The following is a 22470-nucleotide window of genomic DNA, read 5'->3' as shown; positions in this document are numbered from 1 at the left end:
TGATTGCAATGTGGTCTGACAGACTGTTGGTTATGATTTCCGTTCTTTTGCATGTGATGAGGAGTGTTTTACTTCCAATTATGTGATAAATTTTAGAATAAGTGCTGTGTGGTGCTGAGAAGAATGTATATTCTATTGCTTTGGGGTAGAGAGTTCTGTAGGTGTCTGTTAGGTTCACTTGGTCCAGAGCTGAGTTCAAGTCCTGAATATCCTTGTTGATGTCGATGATCTGTCTAATATTGACAGTGGGGTGTTAAAAGTTTCCCACTATTATTGTGTGGGAGTCTGAAGTCTCCTTGTAGGTCTCTAAGGACTTGCTTTATGAGTCTGCATGCTCCTGTATTGGGTGCATATAGATTTTAGATAGTTAGCTCTTCTTGTTGAATTGATCTCTTTACCATTATGTAATACTCTTCTTTCTCTTTTTTGATCTTTGTTGGTTTTAAGTCTGTTTTATCAGAGACTGGGATTGCAACCCCTGCTTTTTTTGCTTTCCATTTGCTTGACAGATCTTCCTCCATCTCTTTATTTTGAGCCTATGTGTATCTTTCATGTGAGATGGGTCTCCTGAATACAGCACACCGATGGGTCTTGACTCTTTATCCAATTTGCTAGTCTGTGTCTTTTAACTGGGGCATTTAGCCCATTTACATTTCAGGTTAATATTGTTATGTGTGAATTTGATCCTGTCATTATGATGTTAGCTGGTTATTTTGCCCATTAATTGATGCAGTTTCTTCATAGTGTTGATGGTCTTTACAATTTGGTATGTTTTTGCAGTCACTGGTACCAGTTTTTCTGTTCTATATTTAGTGCTTCCTTGAGGAACTCTTGAAAGGCAGGCCTGGTGGTGACAAAATCCCTCAGCACTTGCTTGTCTGTAAAGGAATTTATTTCTCCTTCACTTATGAAGCTTAGTTTGGCTGGATATGAAATTCTGGGTGAAAAATTCTTTTCTTTAAGAATTTTGAATATTGGTCCCCACTCTCTTCTGACTTATAGGGTTTCTGCAGAGAGATCTGCTGTTAGTCTGATAGGCTTCCCTTTGTTGGTAACACAACCTTTCTCTCTGGCTGCCCTTAACATTTTTTCCTTCATTTCAACCTTCATGAATCTGATGATTATGTGTCTTGGGGTTGCTCTTGAGGAGTATCTTTGTGCTGTTCTCTTTATTTCCTGAATTAGAATGTTGGCCTGTCTTGCTAGGTTGGGGAAGTTCTTCTGGATAATATCCTGAAGAATGTTTTCCAACTTGGTTCCATTCTCCCTGTCACTTTCAGGTACACCAATAAAACGTAGGTTTTGTCCTTTCACATAGTCCCATATTTCTTGAAGGCTTTGTTTGTTCCTTTTCATTCTTTTTTCTCTAATCTTGTCTTCACGCTTTATTTCATTAAGTTTATTTCATTAATCTCTTATATCCTTTCTTCCGCTTGATTGATTCAGCTATTGATACTTGTGTTTGCTTCACGAAGTTCTTGTGCTGTGTTTTTCAGCTTCATCAGGTCATTTATGTTCTTCTATAAACTGGTTATTCTAATTAGCAATTCCTCTATCCTTTTTTCAGTGTTCTTAGCTTCCTTGCATTGGGTTAGAATATGCACCTTTAGCTTGGAGGAGTTTGTTATTACCCACCTTCTGAAGCCTACTTCTGTCTATTCATCAAACTCATTCTCCATCCAGTTTTGTTCCCTTGCTGGCGAGGAGCTGTGATCCTTTGGAGGAGAAGAGGCATTCTGCCTTTTTGCACAGGTTTTTCCTCATCTTCATAGATTTATCTACCTTTGGTCTTTGATGCTGGTGACCTTTGGATGGGGTTTTGGTGTGGATTTCCTTTTTGTTGATGTTGATGCTATTCCTTTCTGTTTGTTAGTTTTCCTTCTAACAGTCAGGCCTCTCTGCTGCAGGTCTGCTGGAGTTTGCTGCAGGTCCACTCCAGACCCTGTTTGCCTGGGTATCACCAGCAGAGGCTATAGAACAGCAAAGATACCCCAAAGATTGCTGCCTGTTTTTTTTCTCTGGAAGCTTTGTTCCCAGAGGGGCACCCGCCAGATGCCAGCTGGAGCTCTCCTGTATGAAGTGTCTGTCGACCCCTGCTGGGAGGTGTCTCCCAATCAGGAGGCACAGGGGTCAAGGACCCATTTGAGGAGGCAATCTGTCCCTTAGCAGAGCTCTAGCGCTGTGCTGGGAGATTCACTGCTGTCTTCAAAGCCAGCAGGCAGGAACGTTTAAGTCTGCTGAAGCTGTGCCCACAGCCTCCCCTTACCTCAGCTGCTCTGTCCCAGGGAGGTGGGAGTTTTATCTATATACCCCTGACTGGGGCTGCTGCCTTTCTTTCAGAGATGCCCTGCATAGAGAGGAGGAATCTAGAGAGGCAGTCTGGCTACAGTGGCTTTGCCAAGCTGTGGTCGGCTCTACCCAGTTCGAATTTCCCAGAGGCTTTGTTTACACTGTGAGGGCCTACTCAAGCCTCAGTAATGGTGGATGCCCCTCCCCCCACCAAGCTCAAGCTTCCCAGGTTGACTTTAGACTGCTGTGCTGGCAGTAAGAATTTCAAGCCAGTGGATCTTAGCTTGCTGGGCTCTGTGGGGCTGGGATCCGCTGAGCTAGGCTAGACCACTTGGTTCCCTGGCTTCAGCCCCTTTTCCAGGGGAGTGAACAGTTTTGTCGCGCTGGCATTCCAGGCACCACTGGGGTATGAAAAAAAAACTCCTGCAGCTGTCTCAGTGTCTGCCCAAATGGCCACCCAGTTTTGTGTTTGAAACCCAGGGCCCTGGTGATGTAGGCACCTGCGGGAATCTCCTGGTCTGCGGGTTGTGAATACCATGGGAAAAGTACAGTATGTGGGCCGGAATACACCATCCCTCGTGGCACAGTCCCTCACGGCTTCTCTTGGCTAGGGGAGGGACTTCCCCCACCCCTTGTGCTTCCTGGGTGAGGCATAGCCTCACCCAAGGAGGTGCTTTGTATCAGGCTTAGTTACTGACCAGCTGTGACCTGAACCTAAGTTTACTCATCTGATAAAAGAGATACCTACTTTTTCTACCAGGTATCCACTTATTTGCTGTTCAGAATAAATGAACTTAATGAGATAAAGTGTCTCTTACAGGACTGGCACACGTTAGGAGCTCACCAAATGATAATGACTGGTTGTTATCATTGACAATTATAATATTTGTGATTTAGGTTGGAACTCAGTTTATCCGTGGTGTGTCTGGAGGAGAAAGAAAAAGGACTAGTATAGGAATGGAGCTTATCACTGATCCTTCCATCTTGTTCTTGGATGAGCCTACAACTGGCTTAGACTCAAGCACAGCAAATGCTGTCCTTTTGCTCCTGAAAAGGTAAATGCTCTGGAAACATTATTCTTTAGTTAATATCTTATCACTACTATGTCCCAGATATTCTTGGGGCAGGGGGTTCAGAAATGATCAAAGTAATTTCTTCCTCTTCTGTTGGAGTGAAAGTCAGTTAACAAATGAAAAGCATTATCAAGAAAAACAAAGCAGGTAAGAATGTAGGGAAGGATGTCTGTGATGAGGGTGTAGGGGGGTTGGGCCTGTTTTGCTGCTGTCTCTTTAGCTTCTTTACTCAACACCAACAGACACACACATACACATTTTTTCTCCCTCTCTCTGCTCTATAACACTGAACATTTTGTAGTTTTCTGAGTAGACCTTTTTATTTCACACCTTTTTCATCTTATTCTTCCACCTTCAGTACTTTTTCTTTTTCTTCTTAGCTTCCTCCTGTTGGGCCTTTTTTACTCTACTTATATCATCTTCAGACTGGGTTGTGAGTCTCCCATTTTGCTTATGAGGAATCCTTAGCATCTTCTATTTCATATTGTACTGAAATTGTTGACCTACTGGCCTGATCCTCTTTGAGGCAGAATGTTTTTGTGTACACTGCTAGCATACAGTAAGTTCTTAGAAAATGTTAAAATTGAAGTGACTCTTCACATAAAATATTTTGAATAGTAACAGTTTTGAACAGTGATTTTGGCCCTTCTTCCACCTGTGTATTGTTATTATAATTATTACAAATGTTATTACAATTCAAGGTGAGATTTGGGTGGGGACACATATCATTCTGCCCCTGGCCCCTCCCTCCCAAATCTCATGTCCTCACATTTTAAAACCAATCATGCCTTCCCAACAGTCTCCCAGAGTCTTAACTCATTTCATCATTAACTCAAAAGTTCACATTCTAAAGTCTCATCTGAGACAGGGCAAGTTCCATCCACCTATGGGCCTGTAAAATCAAAAGCAAGTTAGTAACTTCCTAGATACAATAGGAGTACAGGCATTGGGTAAATACACCTGTTCCAAATGGGAGAAATTGGCCAAAACGAAGGGGCTACAGGTCCCACGCAAGTCCGAAATCCAAAGGGGCAGTCAAATCTTAAAGCTCTGAAATTATCTTCTTTGATTCCATATCTCACGTCCAAGTCACACTGATGCAAGAGGTGGGCTCCCAGGGCCTTGGGAGGCTCTGGCCTTGTGGATTTGCAGGGCACAGCCCCTTTTGTGGCTGATTTCACAGGCTGGTATTGAGTGTCTGTGGCTTTTCCAGATGCACAATTCAAGCTGTTGGTGGATCTACCATTCTGGGGTCTTAAGGATGATGGCCCTCTTCTCACTACTGCACTAAGCAGTGCCTCAGTGGGGGCCCTGTGTAGGGGCTCCCACCCAACATTTCCCATCTGCAGTGCCCTAGCAGAGGTTCTCCATGAGGGCTCCACCCCTAAAGTTGACTTTTGCCTGGACATCCAGGTATTTCCATACATCCTCTGAAATCTAGGTGAAGGGCAGGCCTAACACCACATGGAAGCTGCCAACTCTCTGTTGGTCCCCTTTAACCATGGCTGAAACATAGGGTACCAAGTCTCGAGACTGTACAAAGCAGCAAGGCCCTGGGCCTGGCCTAGGAAACCATTTTTTCCTCCTAGGCCTCTGGGCCTGTGATGGGAGGAGCTGCTGTAAAGACGTCTGACATTCCCTGGAGACATTTTCCCCATTGTCTTGGTGATTAACATTTGGTTCCCTATTACTTATGCAAATTTCTGTAGCAGGCTTGAATTTCTCTTCAGAAAATGGGTTTTTCTTTTTTATCGCATCATCAGGCTGCAAATTTTCTGAGCTTGTATGCTCCGCTTCCCTTTTAAACATAAGTTCCAATTTCAAACCATATCTTTGTGAATGAATAAAACTGAATGCTTTTAACAGCACCCGAGTCACCTCTTGAATGCTTTGTTGCTTAGAAATTTCTTCTACCAGATGCTCTAAATCATCTCTCTCAAGTTCATAGTTCCACAGATCTCTAGGGCAGGGGCAAAATGCCACCAGTCTCTTTGCTAAAACATAGCAAGAGTCACTTTTATTCCAGTTCCCAACAAGTTCCTCATCTCCATCTGAGACCACCTCAACCTGGACTTCATTGTCCATATCACTGTCAGCATTTCAGCCAAAGCCAATCAACAAGTCTCTAGGAGGTTCCAAACTTTCCCACATCTTCCTGTCTTCTTCTTAGCCCTCCAAACTGTTCCAGCCTCTGCCTGTTACCCAGTTCCAAAGTGGCTTCCAGATTTTTGGGTATCTTACAGCAGCATCCTGCTCTACCAGTACCAATTTACTGTATTAGTTTGTTCTCACACTGCTAATAAAGACATACCTGAGGCTGGGTAATTTATAAGGGAAAGAAGTTTCATGGACTTACAGTTGCACATGGCTGGGGAGATCTCACAATTTTCGTGGAAGGCAAAGAAGAAAAGGCATGTTGTACATGGCAGCAGGCAAGAGAGCTTGTGCAGGGGAACTCCCATTTATAAAACCATCAGATCTCGTGAGAGTTTTTCAGTACCACGAGAACAGTATGGGGGAACTTCCCCCATGATTCAATTATCTCCACCTGGCCCCATCCTTGATATGTGGGGATTGTTACAATTGAAGGTGAGATTTGGGTGGGCACACAGCCAAACCTTATCAACCTGTAAGTCATAACTCCTGTGAAAAGGTACTTTAGCACTATTTTGGTCATGGACTTAGACCAGAGATTAAATCCCAGCCTTGCCTCTTACTAACTGTGATCCCTTGGCCAGTTGCTTGATCCTTTAAGACATATTTATAAAATGAGGGTAATAATAATAATATTGGAACTGCCTCATGACAATATTGTGAAAATTGAAATGAAGTTATCTCTAAATTATTTAGCAAAGACATAGTAAGTACTCAGTTATGTTAATTGCATTATTAGGGCAGAAGAGTGAAAACCAATTTTTAAAGAGCCAGAAGACCTAAATGATAAGTCAGAATGAGATATATGACCATTGTTTTAATATGCAGTCCATAGTTAGTTCTCAAACTTGTAAATACTTGCAGATTACCTGGGTTGCTTCTTAAAATATGGATTCCCTAGACCTACTGCCAGAGATTCTAATTCAATGTCTGGGAAGACTGTCCTAGAATCTGCATTTTTAATAACTATTCTAGTTGATTCTAGATTGTCAATACAACACACTGAAAATTCCTATTCTGTTTTAATAAAAGCATTGAATTTAGGTTTGCTAACTATAGCTAAATAATATGAGATGAAAAGTTAGTAAGACAAAGTCAGGCTGAACTAGAGCAAACAATCTAAAGGCAAGAATAGAGTATTTTACTGAGAAATACAAGTTTCAGATATTTAATGACTTAGTATTGTCTCACTTTTAACTTAGGATGTCTAAGCAGGGACGAACAATCATCTTCTCCATTCATCAGCCTCGATATTCCATCTTCAAGTTGTTTGATAGCCTCACCTTATTGGCCTCAGGAAGACTTATGTTCCACGGGCCTGCTCAGGAGGCCTTGGGATACTTTGAATCAGCTGGTATGGTTGACTTTTTTATGCTGTAAAATGCTTCATTAATAGAATCCTGAAGGAGAGCAAAGGGGGTCTGCAGGAGTGCTGTTTGGTCTTTGGGTAGACATACCATGAGAATCTATCACTTCAAAATGTGTTTGTTCCATTTGGTGCTAGTATTTTTCTTCATTTTTGTAGCACCAGCTTGTTATTTAGGTATCTTTCTTGTCTTATTTCAATGTGCATGCATGTGTGTATTTCTACTGGGCCTATATTCTGCTTCCTAGTTACAGTGACCATTTCTTAAAAGCTCAGTAATTAATATGTTGGCCTTATAGCCATTTATTCTGTCACTTGAACATTTTTGGGAAGGCCTAATATGATTGTCTTCTTGACCATATAACAGATGAGGCCTTAAAATTTTTTCCCCTTGCACATGTTGGTCTGCCTTGATGAGCACTCATGGAAATGCTACTTAATTTTGTTTATTTTTATTTTTGAGATGGAGTCTTGCTCTATTGCCCAGGCTGGAGTGCAGTGACGTGATCTTGGCTCACTGCAAGCTCTGCCTCTCGGGTTCACACCATTCTCCTGCCTCAGCCTCCTGAGTAGCTGGGACTGCAGGCGCCCACAACCATGCCCGGCTAATTTTTTTGTATTTTTTTAGTAGAGACAGGGTTTCACCCTGTTAGCCAGGAGGATGGTCTTGATCTCCTGACCTTGTGATCTGCCACCTCGGCCTCCCAACGTGCTGGGATTATAGGTGTGAGCCACTGCACCCAGCAAATTTTATTTAAGGTTTTTTTTTTTTCTTTTGAGATAGGATCTCACTGTGTCACCCAGGCTGGAGTGCAGTGGCACAATCTTGACTCACTGCAGCCTCAACCCCCCGCGCTCAAGCCATCCTCCCACCTCACCCAAGCAGCTGGGACTATAGACACATGCCACCATGGCTATCTAATTTTTGTATTTTTTGTAGAGTCGGGGTCTTGCCATGTTGCCCAGGATGGTCTCAAACTCCTGAGCTAAAGCAATCTGCTGTGGCCTCCCAAAGTGTTGGGATTACAGGTGTGAGCCACTGTGACCGGCAGACACTACTTAATTTTCTGGTAACTATAGATTGCAGCTTTAGCCCTTGAGTGGGTATCGGTCAATAGAGTGGTTAGTCCTAAACCTGACTTAGATGGGCCAAAATTTCTAACAATCTTGGACAGCATGGTTCTTTTTATTTCAAATTGAAATGTGTGATTTTTAAAATTTTAGATAGAAATGTGTGATTTTTTGGCCGGGCGCGGTGGCTCACGCCTGTAATCCCAGCACTTTGGGAGGCCGAGGCGGGCGGATCACGAGGTCAGGAGATCGAGACCATCCTGGCTAACACGGTGAAACCCCGTCTCTACTAAAAATACAAAAAATTAGCCGGGCGTGGTGGCGGGCGCCTGTAGTCCCAGCTACTCGGGAGGCTGAGGCAGGTGAATGGCGTGAACCCGGGAGGCGGAGCTTGCAGTGAGCCGAGATCGCGCCACTGCACTCCAGCCTGGGTGACAGAGCGAGACTCCGTCTCAAAAAAAAAAAAAAAAAAAAAAAAAAAAAAAAAAAAAAGAAATGTGTGATTTTTTTTAATGGCTTGTGCGGTCTGCATCATTTTAGATATATTTGGATATGATTACAAATGATTCCCTATGATCCTAAATATAATTTTAGATATTCATTGGCCATGTTTCTTAATTAGGTTTTAATAAAGGGGATGAACTAAGAGTCAGACTTCAGGCCACGCTGAGTTCAGATGATCTCATCATCCAAAGCTGAATGGTTCAGGTGTGCTGTGCTGGCCATGTTCTATCGAGAATACTGCTCAGGGGATTTGTTCTCTATTTGGAATTACAGCAGCACAGCAGTTGATTTGGATTTCTGAATTAATTAATTAATTAATTTACCTTTGAGACAGAGTCTCACTCTGTCGCCCAGGCTAGAGTGCAGTGGTGCTTTCAGAGCTCACTGCAACCTCCACCTCCCAGGTTCAAGCAATTCTTGTGCCTCAGCCTCCTTAGTAGCTGGGATTATAGTCATAAGCCAATGCACCTGGCTAATTTTTGTGTTTTTAGTAGAGATGGGGTTTTGCCATGTTGGCTAGGTTGGTCTGGAAGTCCTGGGCTCAAGTGGTTTGCTGGTCTCGGCCTCCCGAAGTGCTAGTATTACAGATGTGAGCCATTGCACCCAGCGCTGGACCTCTGAATTTAGTATGTGGGGAAGTAGTCATTGCTAATGTGGGTTCTATCATTCTGGCATTCTGTCGGTGAACTCAGAGAGCAGAACACACCTGGGCTTTTGGATTTTTTTCTTGGGTCTATATTTAGATTTTTGAGGAAGTACTGTTAAGCACCAGAGCATACTGATAGCTATTTCAGGTCTCATGAATTATGATAGGTAAGGACCAAGCACTAATGCAAAATGCCCTGCAAATCCAAGGTTGGCTTGGAGTGTTTTCTTTTCTTTCTTTTTTTTTTTTTTTTTGGCCCAGAGACAAAGAATTGCCGAAATATTGTGTGATAGGCTGGGAACAGTAGCTCATGCCTGTAATCCCAGCACTTTGGGAGGCCGAGGCGGGTGGATCACTTGAGGCCAGGAGTTCGAGACCAGCCTGGCCGACATGGCAAAGCTGTGTCTCTACTGAAAATACAAAAATTAGCTGGACGTGGTCATGCGTGCTTCTAATCCCAGCTACTTGGGAGGCTGAGGCAGGAGAATCACTTGAACTCGGGAGGCAGAGGTTTCAGTGAACCAAGATTGCCCCACCACATTCCAGCCTGGGTGACAGAGGGAGACCCTGTCTCAAAATAAATAAATAAATTATATATATATATATATATATATATATAGAGAGAGAGAGAGAGAGAGAGAGACTGAATATATAAAAAGAAAGGGTAAAATTACGTGGGAAGAAGAGAGAAAGAAAGTTAAGGAAAAGTCATTAGATTCTGTCTTCTCTAGCCTTACCTCCCTCACCCTCTGAAAGTGAGTTCTCTTTGTTTTCCAAGACCATCAAGTTTGTGTTTTTGAGCTGCCTTCTTTCATAGGTTATCACTGTGAGGCCTATAATAACCCTGCAGACTTCTTCTTGGACATCATTAATGGAGATTCCACTGCTGTGGCATTAAACAGAGAAGAAGACTTTAAAGGTATATGAATCTGTTACAGTCCCAGATTTTTGCCTAATTGAATTGGCTGAAGTTTAGCAATGTGGTGGCTAATTAAAATGTGGCTTTGTGAATTTCTGTTGATGCAGTCTTCTGATACCAGTCAACACAAATATTTTGTTGTCTGTGAGTGCTGTTGGTGTTTTTGATTAATTTATAAATGAGAATTTATATGGTGTTGTCAGTTCCAAGAGGAGTTAACATTTTAAAAAATGCTCAGTGTTTATATAGTGTTTTTAAAATAAGAAACTTGGCAATATATGCATTTGCATATAGTAGGAAGCAACAACCAGATTTTTTTTTTTTTTTTTGAGAAGGAATCTAGCTCTTGTCACCCAGGCTGGAGTGCAATGGTGCTATTTCGGCTCACTGACCCCTCCGCCTCCCAGGTTCAAGCCACTCTCCTGCCTCAGCTTACTGAGCAACTAGAATTACAAGCCTGTGCCACCAGGCCCGGCTAATTTTCGTATATTTAGTAGAGATGGAGTTTCACCATGTTGGCCAGGCTGGTTTCAAACTCCTGACCTCAAGTGATCCTCCCGCCTTGGCCTCCCAAAGTGTTGGGATTACAGGTGTGAGCCACCGCCCCTGGCCACGACCAGAATTTTATATTAAGAATTAGAACTATATGGTAAGAAGTCTATTTTAAAAGAATTAAGGTCAAATAGAAAACGTCAGTTTGTTTGCTATATTCATAAGACTATGGCAATAGACAGGCTATTTCTCTGTAGTTTTCTTTTTCTTTCTTTTTCTCTTTTTAAATATACATTTTAATTTATTACTTACTTTATTTATTTTTATAGAGACAGGGTCTCGTTTCGTTGCTCAGGCTGGTCTTGAATTCCTGGCCTCGCATGATCCTCCTGCCTCTGCCCTGCAAAATACTGGGATTACAGGAGTGAGCCACTGTGCCTGGCCTGTTATACTTTTCTAATGACAGAGCTAATAATTTTTTATTTCTATTTTTTCTTTTTTGAGATGGAGTCTTGCTCTCTTGCACAGGCTGGAGTGCAGTGGTGTGATCTCAGCTCACTGCAACCTCCACCTCCCTGGTTCAAGCGATTCTCTTGCCTCAGCCTCCTGAGTGGCTGGGATTACAGGCACGCACCACCACGCCAGGCTAATTTTTTTTGTATTTTCAGTAGAGACAGGGTTTCACCATGTTGGTCAGGCTGGTCTCGAACTCCTGACCTCGTAATCCACCCGCCTCAGCCTCCCAAAGTGCTGAGATTACAGTCATGAGCCGCCGTGCCTGGCCTATTTTTTCTTTCTAAAGCTTTAGAATGAAGGTGTTAGGGAAGCATCCAAGAAAGGGTTCACAGAAAAAATGGGCTAAATTTGTTGTTATCTTGTTTGTGTTTCCTTTTTATCCACTGATTGCAAAGCCACAGAGATCATAGAGCCTTCCAAGCAGGATAAGCCACTCATAGAAAAATTAGCGGAGATTTATGTCAACTCCTCCTTCTACAAAGAGACAAAAGCTGAATTACATCAACTTTCCGGGGGTGAGAAGAAGAAGAAGATCACAGTCTTCAAGGAGATCAGCTACACCACCTCCTTCTGTCATCAACTCAGATGGGTTTCCAAGCGTTCATTCAAAAACTTGCTGGGTAATCCCCAGGCCTCTATAGCTCAGGTAACCAGCAGATTCTTTTGAAATACTCAAATGGGAACAATGTGGTTCTGTTATCATCTGCTTCAGGATATGTTTATCTTCTACCCACCCTTCCAATTATTTGTTATCTTCACTCCACCTGGGATATAGAACCAGTCAGCAGAACAAATAAAGGACAATTAAGTTTTACTTTTGGAAAGCTTCCCTTTTTTTGAGACAGAGTCTCACTCTGTTGCCCAGGCTGGAGTGTGGTGGCATGAACTCAGCTCACTGCAGCCCTGACCTCCCTGGGCTCAAGTGATCCTCACACCTCAGCCTCTTGAATAGCTGAGACTACAGGCGTGTCCCACCACGTCCAGCTAATTTTTGTGTTTTGTGTAGAGATGGGGTTTCGCTGTGTTGCCCAGGCTGGTCTTGAACTCGTGGGTTCAAGCGATTCTCCTGCCTCAGTCTCCCAGAGTGCTAGGATTACAGGTGTGAGCCACCACATCTGGCCAGGTTCTTTTTTTTAGTGGTTTCTTAGACTACCTAACTCAGAATTTTTGTTGATTTAGACAAGCTGTAATGAATAATCTGAGTAGAAAAATTTTTTTTTTGGGAAATTGTGAAAGAAGTGTCAGCCAGTTTTGGGGTTTTCTGGTAGCTGTTCACTTTTGTTCACTGATTCATTCAACTTGTTCTTATAGGGCCTGTGCTGTGCTTTAGGGATGTGAATTCAGTAGTGAACAAAATGGGCAAAAATAAAACTCTGCTCATGGAGCTAATTTTTTGAGGAAGACAGTTATGATAAATAATAAAGAAATTAAATAGATAGCATGTTAGATGGTAGAAGAAACTATGGGGAAAGTTTAAGCAGAGAAGGGGTGGAGAAAGGGGAGGAAGAGAGAGAAGTAGGGAGAAGAAGGTTGATTTGCAGTTGGAATCAGGTGATCAGGGAAACCTTCACCTACTGTCACTGAATACACCTGAAAGGGAGTATGTGCTGGCCACTCCAAGGGAAGAGCCTGTGTGCAAAGTGCTGTTCCTTGTCATTTACCTTCCTTAGACAGTTTACAGGTGAAACAAATGTAGTAAGCAAATTTGAGTTCACAGAACAAGGCTATTCATTGTTAGATTAACTTTCTGTTAATCAAAATGAGATAATGTTTCTTTGTTCCTTGGTTGGCTCTGTGATAGTTGGTGATTATTACTCCTTGTGGTTTTTGTTATTCTTTTCTTTACACATTTTTTTTTTTTTAGAGACTGGGTCTCACTCTGTCACTCATACTGGAGTGCAGTGGTGCAATCATAGCTCACTGCAACCCCAAACTCTTGGCTCAAGCGATCCTCACACTTCAGCCTCCCGAGTAGCTGTGACTACAGCCGTGCACCACAACACCTGGCTGATTTTTTAATTTTTTGTAGAAACAGGGTCTCACTATGTTGTCCTGGTCTGGATCTCCTGGGCTCAAGCGATCCTCCTGCCTTGGCCTCCCAAAGTGCTGGGATCACAGGTGTGAGCCACCATGCCTGGCCTTTTCTGTTATTCTTAACCCCTCTGTCACCCAAAACATTAGTACTCCCAGTTCATTGGTCCATTCTTCAAAGAAGTCAATTTAGCTGGTTATTTTGGGGCTGTTATTTTTATTAACAATATTGAGTTTCTGTTGAGTACTAAAAGATGGCACATTGTTGGCTCTAGTAAAATATTACTGACGTTTAAACTTGTGCATCATAATTTCTATACTTAAGTATATATAAAATATATCTAAGAGCTTGTATCCCTAGTTAAGCCATACTGCTAATTATGTATATATATGTATATATGTATAGCCACATATATGTATGTATAGCCATACTGCTAGTTAAGTATATATATAAATTTATCTAAGAGCTTGTATCCCTAGTTGAACCATATTGCTAATTTCTCCAAATGTTTTTGGTACGTATAATTTGGTGTTTCTGTCAGAACACTGGCACTTTTATATACTATCAATTAAAGGCAAAATTTTATTCTTTGAGCATAGATTTGATATCATTTGGAAATCAGTCTGGTAGGATCAACCTGGGTTACTTATTGTCAACAGTGAAATAATGTAATGAATTGCTTTTTTAGTGTGATGTATGCATTAGATTTTTCTTACTTGGAAAATAACTTGAATTATCTTGCTTCAAAAAATGGTTTATAAATGTCTTGTCCAAATCGCCTATGTGGCAATACTGGAGAGGGCATAATTAGAACACAGAGCTGTTTTTCACACACTGAGATTCTGCATGTTTTGATACTGGGCTTCCTTCCAATGCTAACACCTGGCCTAGTGCCTCTAGGTTTAGCTTCCCTGCCTCATCAGTGAACTCACTTTCACAAAAGGAATTCCAGCCATGTTCAGAGCAGTGGCAGTCTCTTAGATTAAGAATAGGACCTTGTATCTCCCTGAGCATCTGCTTAGCAGGACAAGTTTTGTTTCGATTTGTGAAAAACTGGAATATTAGCTTAGGGCAGGAGTAGGCAATATATATTTTTTTTTTTTGTAAAGGATCAGGTAGTAAATATTTTAGGCTTTGCAGATCAGGTGGTGTTTGTCTCAGGTAGTCAGCTCTACCGTTTTAGTGTGAAAGCAGCCAAGCTCATAACATGAATAAATGAACATGGCAGTATTCCAATAATAAACGAAAGGCTGGCTAGATGCAGTGGTTCCTGCCTATAACCCCAGCACTTTGGGAGACCAAGGCAGAAGGATGCTTGAGGCCAAGAGTGTGAGAACAGCTTGGGCAATAAAGCAAGACCCCCTTTTTTTTTCTGAGACAGAGTCATGCTCTGTCGCCCAGGCTGGAGTGCAGTGGTGCTGTGTCGGCTCACTGTAACCTCCGCCTCCCGGGTTCAAGCAATTCTCCTGCCTCAGCCTCCCGAGTAGCTGGGACTACGGGTGCCCGCCACCATGCCCAGCTAATTTTTGTATTTTTAGTATAGACAGGGTCGCACCATGTTGGCCAGGCTGGCTTCGAACTCCTGACCTCAGGTGGGTCCACCCGCTTCAGTCCCCCACAGTGCTGGGATTACAGATGTGAGCCACTGTGCCTGGCCAAGACCCTATCTTAAAAAAAAAGGTAACTTTCATTTTATTCCAATGAAACATTATACATTGGCACTGAAATTTGAATTTTATATAAATTTTATATTGTGAGAAATATTATTATTCTTGACTTTTTATTCAATGATAAATAAAATGAGCTAAGTGTGGTGGTGCATGTCTGTAGTCCTAACTACTCAAAAGGCTGAGGTGGGAGGATTGCTTGAGACCAGAAGTTTGAGGCTGCAGTGAACTATGATTACACCACTGCACTCCAGCCTGAGTGACAGAGTGAGACTTTGTCTCTAAAAAATAATAAAAAATAAAGTAAAAAACCATTCTTAGCTCATAGGTGAACAAAGATAGGTGGCTGGCCCTATTTGACCTGTGGGCTATAGCTTAATGATTCCTGATTCAGGGTTTATGATTTTGTATGTTGTTTTAATTCTGAGTTCTTGAAAATTGAGTTGTTAAAATGTTTTATGACTCTCTACTGATAAATCTTGAATCTGTTGCTTTACAGCTGCACTTTGGCTTGAACTAGTTATTTCTTTACATGATTCAAACTTGGCCTCTGATAATGCATCTTCCAAAGGTTGTATTTGGAAAATCTTAGAATGAATGGATTATCTGTATGAGAAGATTGCATGTTCATTTAAGGTGCCAAGGGTTTTCTGAACAGCTCAACTTGGAAGCAGATGGGGTCTGTGCACTCCATTGTGCACTGTTTAGTTTGCCTGTTTGTTTTCCTTTCTTTAATGCCAGAAAGAATAACACAGACACACCTTATAAAAGCATGCCAAGGTTACGGGATTGATTATTTTGTCAATATGTTTGAAAGCTGACTTTGAAAACATTTTTAGAACTTTGAAACTTTTAGGAAACATCTTAATCATAATACTCAGTGTTAGTATAAGATAACAAGTTTGAATGAAAACTTGACAAAGCATTTGGAATGTTTAGTTTGAAAAGTCTGGGCCGGGCATGGTGGCTCATGCATGTAATCCCAGTGCTTTGGGAGGCCAAGGCGGGCAGATCATGAGGTCAGGAGTTCGAGACCAGCCTGGCCAACATAGTGAAACCCTGTGTCTACTAAAAGTACAAAAAATTAGCTGGGCTTGGTGGTGGGCGCATGTAATCCCAGTTGCTTGGGAGGCTGAGGCAGGAGAGTTGCTTGAACCTGGGAGCTGGAGGTTACAGTGAGCCGAGATCGCGCCATTGCACTCCAGCCAGGGCAACAGTGCGAGACTGTCTCAAAAAAAAAAAAAAAAATCCTGAATTGAATATTCTTAAAAGTTTTACTGTGTGAAAACGTAGACTCTTGTATGCACATTCATGCATGCCTGTTGATACAGTCATCTGCATTTATTTTGGAAGCTTGGTCTGTTGAAGTATATTCTGAGGGTAATGAAAATATGCCAGCATAATGGATTTCCCCCCAAAATTTCTAAGTGAATTTTAAAAGACAGCTCATAAGTAGAAACATTGGAATAATGTTCTTTCCAGACTAGGTTCTTCACAAACTAGTTATCACAGATGATGGTACTGTTTTTGCAGTTCGGTTTGCTTCATGCCAAAAGTGTCCTTGATCAGTTACTTTAAATCTTGATACCATTAGACTGTTGCAGTATTGAGATTTTGTTTTTTTAACTTTGAAGATTCCAAGATATGGTAGGATATTTTGTCTTCTTTAGATTACCATTTCTTATTTTTTTATTCTTATTTATTTATCAATTTATTTTTTGAGACAGTATCGCTCTGTCGCCCAGGCTGGAGTGCAGTGGTATGATCTTGGCTCGCTGCAACCTCCACCTCTAGGGTTCAAGTGATTCTTGTGCCTCAGCCTCCCGAGTAGCTGGGACTACAGGCGTACACCACCATGCCTGGCTAATTTTTTTGTGTGTGTTTTTTTTTAGTAGAGACGGAGTCTCACCATGTTGCCCAGGCTGGTCTCAAACTCCTGAGTTCAGGCAATCTGCCCCCTCGGCCTCCCAAATTGCTGATATTACAGGCATGAGCCACCACGCCCAGCCCATTTCTTGTTTTTTAATATTTAACTCACGAGTAAATATAAATAGGATTTTCTCAGATAAATTATATCATAACGTAACCCTTAAATTAACCCTTTGCTTATTGAAGTGTCCTTAAGAGACCCTTTATCCTAGAAACAAGATTGGTGTTTGTCCAGTCTCCTTAGGAGCTATAGAAATCAATTGAGTGGTGAAGATAGGTGAGAACAGCAAAGAATTGGCAGCTTAGGTCTGCAGCATTGGCTATAGGCCTCACTGGCTGAAGCGATGAGGAAGCAGTGACAGGAGATGGGTAGTGGAAGCATGCAGTGTGTGCACAGAGAAAGCCGGCCAAATGCTTTGGTGACAGTGACAATGCACTTTTCCAGTGCAGGCATGGACTCCCTAGAGGTTGGATAGGCAGGCTCCATCTCACCCCTATTTCCTCACTGTGCAAAATTCCATTGTTAGAATTTTTTTAATGTGTGCTTTAAAATTTTTATTTATTTTTAATGTTAAGAATAAAGATATCCTGTTTTCACTTTAACCTCTTGAAATATAAAATGACTCATGTTCATTGGCACAAAGGTTGAGAGTTCAGTTCAGGGTCAAAACTCTTAGGCACTTGGACTTTGCTTTGCTACATACTTGCATTGCTCTGCTATCCTGTGTGGTATTCACAAGCTCAGTAACCTGAAGCAGACCCTGAACTGACTGCTGGGTGGTGCAATGGGAGGAAGTCCAGCTTTTCCAGCAGTGTGCTTTGTGTCCTACCACTCTCCCCAAAGCACAGATAACTTAATTTTTAACTTAGGAAGCAGTCTAAATAATGTATGCTGTTTTATTTTCTCCCAGGGACGTTGGCCAAGCCATTGAGTGTTTATCTTAATGGAGAGATCTGATTATGTAACCATATATTATACTAATAAATGGTGTGTATAAGTTTTTATCTCTAATTGAAACTCTTCCCCTTTTTTTGCATTTTTCTTTTTGAAAAGATCATTGTCACAGTCGTACTGGGACTGGTTATAGGTGCCATTTACTTTGGGCTAAAAAATGATTCTACTGGAATCCAGAACAGGTAAGTAAATTTGGATCTTGATTTTCAGAAAATGCTGTTACTTTCTTCAAGCTTATTGAAATCCATTAAGAATTTGAATTTAAGACAAGTATAGTGTAAATGTCATTCTTTTATTGAGGGTAGGATGAGTCAGTTTATTTTTGAGACAGAGTCATGCTCTGTTGCCCAGGCTGGAGTGCAGTGACGCGATCTCAGCTCACTGCAATCTCCGCCTCCCGGGTTCAAGCAATTCTCCTGCCTCAGCTTCCCAAGTAGCCTCGACTACAGACATCCACCACCACGCCCAGCTAATTTTTGTATTTTTAGTAGAGACGGGGTCGCACCATGTTGGCTAGACTGGCTTCGAACTCCTGACCTCAGGTGGGTCCACCCACCTTGGCCTCCCAAAGTGCTGGGATTACAGGCGTGAGCCACTCCACCTGGCCCAATTATTTTTAAATGTACAGTTCAGTGGCATTAAGTACATTTACATTGTTATGCAACTATCACCACCATCCAACTCTAGAATTCTTTTTGTCTTCTCAAGTGGAATATCTGTACCCATTAAGCAATAACTTCCCATCTCATATCTGCCTCTCCTAACCCCTGGCAGCAATCATTCTACTTTCTGTCTCTGAACTTGACTACTCTAAGACCCTCATATAAGTGGAATCATACAGTAGATATTCTTTGGTAACTGACTCATTTCCTTTAGCATGTTGTCTTTATGGCTCATTCATGTAGCATGTGTCAGATTTCTTTCCGTTGTAAGGTTGAATAATATTCCATTGTATGTACATACCACATTTCGTTTTTCCATTCATCTATAGATGGAAACTTGGGTTGCTTTCACCTTTTGGCTGTTGTAAACAGTGCTCCCTAGGTGTACAAATATCTCTTTCAGCCAGGTGTGGTGGCATGTGTCTGTAGTCCCAGCTACTCGGGAGGCTGAGGTGGGAGGATTGCTTGAGCCCAGGAGTTCTAGGTTGCAGTGAGCTATGATTGCACTACTGCAGTCCAGCCTGGGTGACAGAGTTCGACCCTGTCTCTTAAAAAAACAAACAAAAAAAACCCTATTTTAGTTCCTGCTTTCAATTCTTCGGATATATACCCAGAATTAGAATTTCTGGGTCATATAGTAATTCTGTTAATTTTTTTGAGGAACTACTATACCGTCTTCCACAGTGGCCGTACCATTTTACATTCTTACCAGCAGTGCACAAGGGTTCCAGTTTCTCCATATCCTTACCAACACTTTTCTTTTTCTCCCTTTTAAATAGTAGAGATCCATTGGATCTTTGGAGAAATGTCTATTCAAGTCCTTTGCCCATTTTAAAATTGAATTGTTTGTTTTTTTGTTGTTGAGTTGTAGGAGTGCTTTATATTTTTGAGGAGATATTAATCCCTTATCAGATACATAATTTGCAAATATTTTTCCCCACTCTGTGGGTTGTCTTTTCAGTATTGATAGTGTCCTTTGATGCATAAACATTTTTAACTTTGATGTAGTCCAATTGATCAATTTCTTCTTTTGTTGCCTGTGAGCTAATTTCTGTCACTTTTTAAATATATATGTTTGACTTAGGGGTGTGATGGGGGTGGGACTCAGCTTTTCCTGTTATATGGTTAGCACTTTTGTTAGTGTTGTGATCCTTACCTAGTTTCAGTCACAGTGGACCCTTAAAAACCTCATTTTATGAGGGGACTTTTTATCGACTGTATTGTGTTCTGAACATAAGCACTCAGGAATTTCACAGCCCTCAGAGTTCTGGTTATTTCATGTATGGAGAACACTTGTGGCAGATACTGTGCTCCGTAGTGCTTGCTGTCCATAGTCTCAGGTTACCACCCAGTGATTTAGAGGGGGTAGATGGTAGTATCCCCATTTTACTATTGAGGAAAGTTGAAGACGCTTATGTGCAGCCTATTTTGATGTCTGGAAAGGCTGATTATTTTTTAAAGAATAAGCATAAAAGTTGGTTCCTCACTCAAGTAAAATAAATTCTTTTGTATGGAATCAGATAGTGTTACTCTACGATGAGAGTGTTATTAAACAGCAGTTTACCAGAGTGATGTCATTGTTGTTTTTACTTTCCCTGAGGGCTGAGGTATCTGGATTATTTCCAGACTTGCTAGTAATTGATGGTTTGTGTGCTGTGTAGATGCCATGTCTTAACCCAGCACAGAATATATCACAGGATCTAAAGGCAGTGGGCCTTTTATATTGTGCAGCAGGAAGCATTTGGAGAGGACATGGAGTAACCTGGTCCTCAACTGGAACTTTGAAGAGGACTGGAAATCTGGCCATTAAAGCTCTTGGTAGAAAAATCCAGAGAAATAAAGAAGAACTTTAGGTGTTTCTTCAGATGTTTTCTGGAGAAATAGGGCATTAATCTTATTTTAATTTGTTTGTTTTTGAAACAGAATCTCACAATATTGCCCAGGCTGGTGTGCAGTAGTGCAGTCATAGCTCACTGCAGCTTTGAACTCCTGGGCTCATAATTTGTATTTGTGACTTAAGCTTGCTATCTTTTTTTTTTCCCCCAAAGCTCTAGGGTACATGTGCAGGATGTGCAGGTTTGCTACATAGTTAAACGTGTGCCATGGTGGTTTGCTACACCTATCAATCCATCACTTTGGTGTTAAGCCCAGTATGCATTAGCTATTTTTCCTGATGTTCTTCCTCCCACTGCTTCTCGTTGACCCCAGTATCATTTTTTAAATAAGCATTTGGACTATGTTAAAGTGGCCTGTGTATATGATTTAATCCCTCCTGGGATGATTAGTGATTTATTGATGAGGAAAAAATGTTTCAGCATCATCTCTGGAAACAGGTTCTCAAAGTTTTGTTCAGGGGTGAATATTAGTACTTCATAATTTAAAACTGCTCGAGGCCAGTGGTTTAGTTCTCTTCTTTGGGGATGAATTCTCTGAGAGAGGAAAGCACTCTCTGCTCTTTCTCTAACCCGTGTAACTGAGAAACTGGGTTTTAATCATATGTAGAGTATAAGCATCTTTGAATTAATAGCTACCTCTGGAATAACTGCTTTACAGAGTTGTGGTGATAGCTAAACAAATTAGTGTGTATTAAGGGAAAAGGTATACTTTAAAAACAGTATTCAGATCCAGTCATCTCACTTCTAGATATTTACCCCAAAGATGTGAAATCAGTTTATTGAAGAAATTTCTGCACCCTCATATTTATTGCAGCATTGTTCACAATAGCCAAGATACGGAATCACCCGAAGGGTCTGATTTGATAAAGAAAATGTGGTATATATACACAGTGGAAAAACAAAAGAAATTTTGTCATTTGCAACAACATGGATGTAATTGGAGAATATTATGCCAAGTGAAATAAGCCAAACGCAGAAAGCTAAGCACAGAAATGTCACATAATCTCACTTAATGTGGAATCTGAAACAATGGAACTGAAAGAGACAGTAGAATGGTGGTTGCCAGAGGCTAGAGGTGTGTGGGGAATGGAGAGATGATGGTCAAAGGGTACAAAACCTCAGTTACACAGGAGGAATAAGGATTTTTCTTTGGAGATACATTGCACAATGTGGTGAACACAGTAAATAATAATGTAAATTTCAGAATTGCTAAAATTTAAGATACTTTTACCACAAAAAATAAATGTTTGAGACGATGGATGTGTTAATTAGCTTGATTTAATTATTTCACACTTATGATTCATGAATTATATAACTTGGTACCCCACAAATATATACAACCATAATATGCCAATTTATAATTTAAAAAATCAAAATAAAAAATATTCAGACCAATAAGTAGATATAACAGATGTGGATTACCACCTTGAAAGAATTAGAATGAATTAACTTCCTTAATAAGAAAAAACTGTGTTTAAAATAAATCATCTTAGTATTTAGAAGGAACGTTTCCATTGTCTACTTTTTCAGAATCATTATGGACATTACTGTACTGATAGATTTAAGACAACAAATTGAATTGAATCTTTGCTATGTTCCATGTTCTGAAATTAGCTTTTTACTTGATATTAGGTTTATTTGTGTACAGAAAGTGAGATAACTGCATGTCTACCAGGCCTGGCTATTTTTCACTCATTTTAATTATATGTACATACTTTTAAAACTGCTCTGGCTGGGCACCGTGGCTTACATTTGTAACTGCAGCACTTTGGGAGGCCAAGCTGGGAGGATTGCTTGAGGCCAGGAGTTCAACTCAGTTGCAGTGAGTTTATGATCATGCCACTATACTCTAGCCTGGGTGACCGAGGGCAGCTCTGTCTCTAAAAATAAAATAAAACAAAAAAGACCCTAGCCTGTTCCCTTAGATCTTTGTTCTTTAGGTATCTATGGACTCTTTTTTTTCTTTTAATGTAATTGTGTTGTTCACTTGGGTTTGCATTTTTTAAAATGTTCTCTTGTTTTTACGCCATTTAAATGATGTGTCACTTACCTCTTTTTCAGTTTCAACTCACACCCTTACTGTCAATTATATTGTTTTGTTATGGTGTTTCAGGGATGTTGGCATGCTTTCATAAAATGCATATTTGTATCAAAGTGTAGATTAACTTAGCATTTTCCTTTTTATTTATTTATTTTTTAATTTTTTTTTTTTTGAGACAGTGTCTCGCTCTGTCACCCAGGCTGGAGTGCAGTGGCGCGATCTCAGCTCACTGCAACCTCCACGTCCCAGGTTCAAGCGA

At 41.1% G+C, this 22470-nt stretch overlaps 1 protein-coding gene across 15 annotated transcripts in view; it reads left to right on the top strand.

The window, feature by feature from the left end:
* Positions 1-22470, top strand: part of ABCG2 (ATP binding cassette subfamily G member 2 (JR blood group)) — a 141363-nt gene that overhangs the window by 106648 nt on the left and 12245 nt on the right. For 10 of the 15 annotated variants that reach the window (NM_001257386.2, NM_001348985.1, XM_011532420.4 and 7 more), the window contains 5 exons: positions 3187-3344; positions 6719-6870; positions 9921-10022; positions 11426-11676; positions 17713-17795. In NM_001257386.2, the coding sequence (NP_001244315.1) occupies positions 3187-3344; positions 6719-6870; positions 9921-10022; positions 11426-11676; positions 17713-17795 (746 nt within the window). The remainder of the gene's footprint in view (positions 1-3186; positions 3345-6718; positions 6871-9920; positions 10023-11425; positions 11677-17712; positions 17796-22470) is intronic. The other 5 variants (XM_017008852.3, NM_001348987.1, NM_001441213.1 and 2 more) reach the window with 3 other exon arrangements.

This window comes from Homo sapiens, chromosome 4 (genome assembly GCF_000001405.40).
Source record: "Homo sapiens chromosome 4, GRCh38.p14 Primary Assembly".
Taxonomy (NCBI): domain Eukaryota; kingdom Metazoa; phylum Chordata; class Mammalia; order Primates; family Hominidae; genus Homo; species Homo sapiens.
This window is presented reverse-complemented; position numbering and strand designations above follow the sequence as displayed.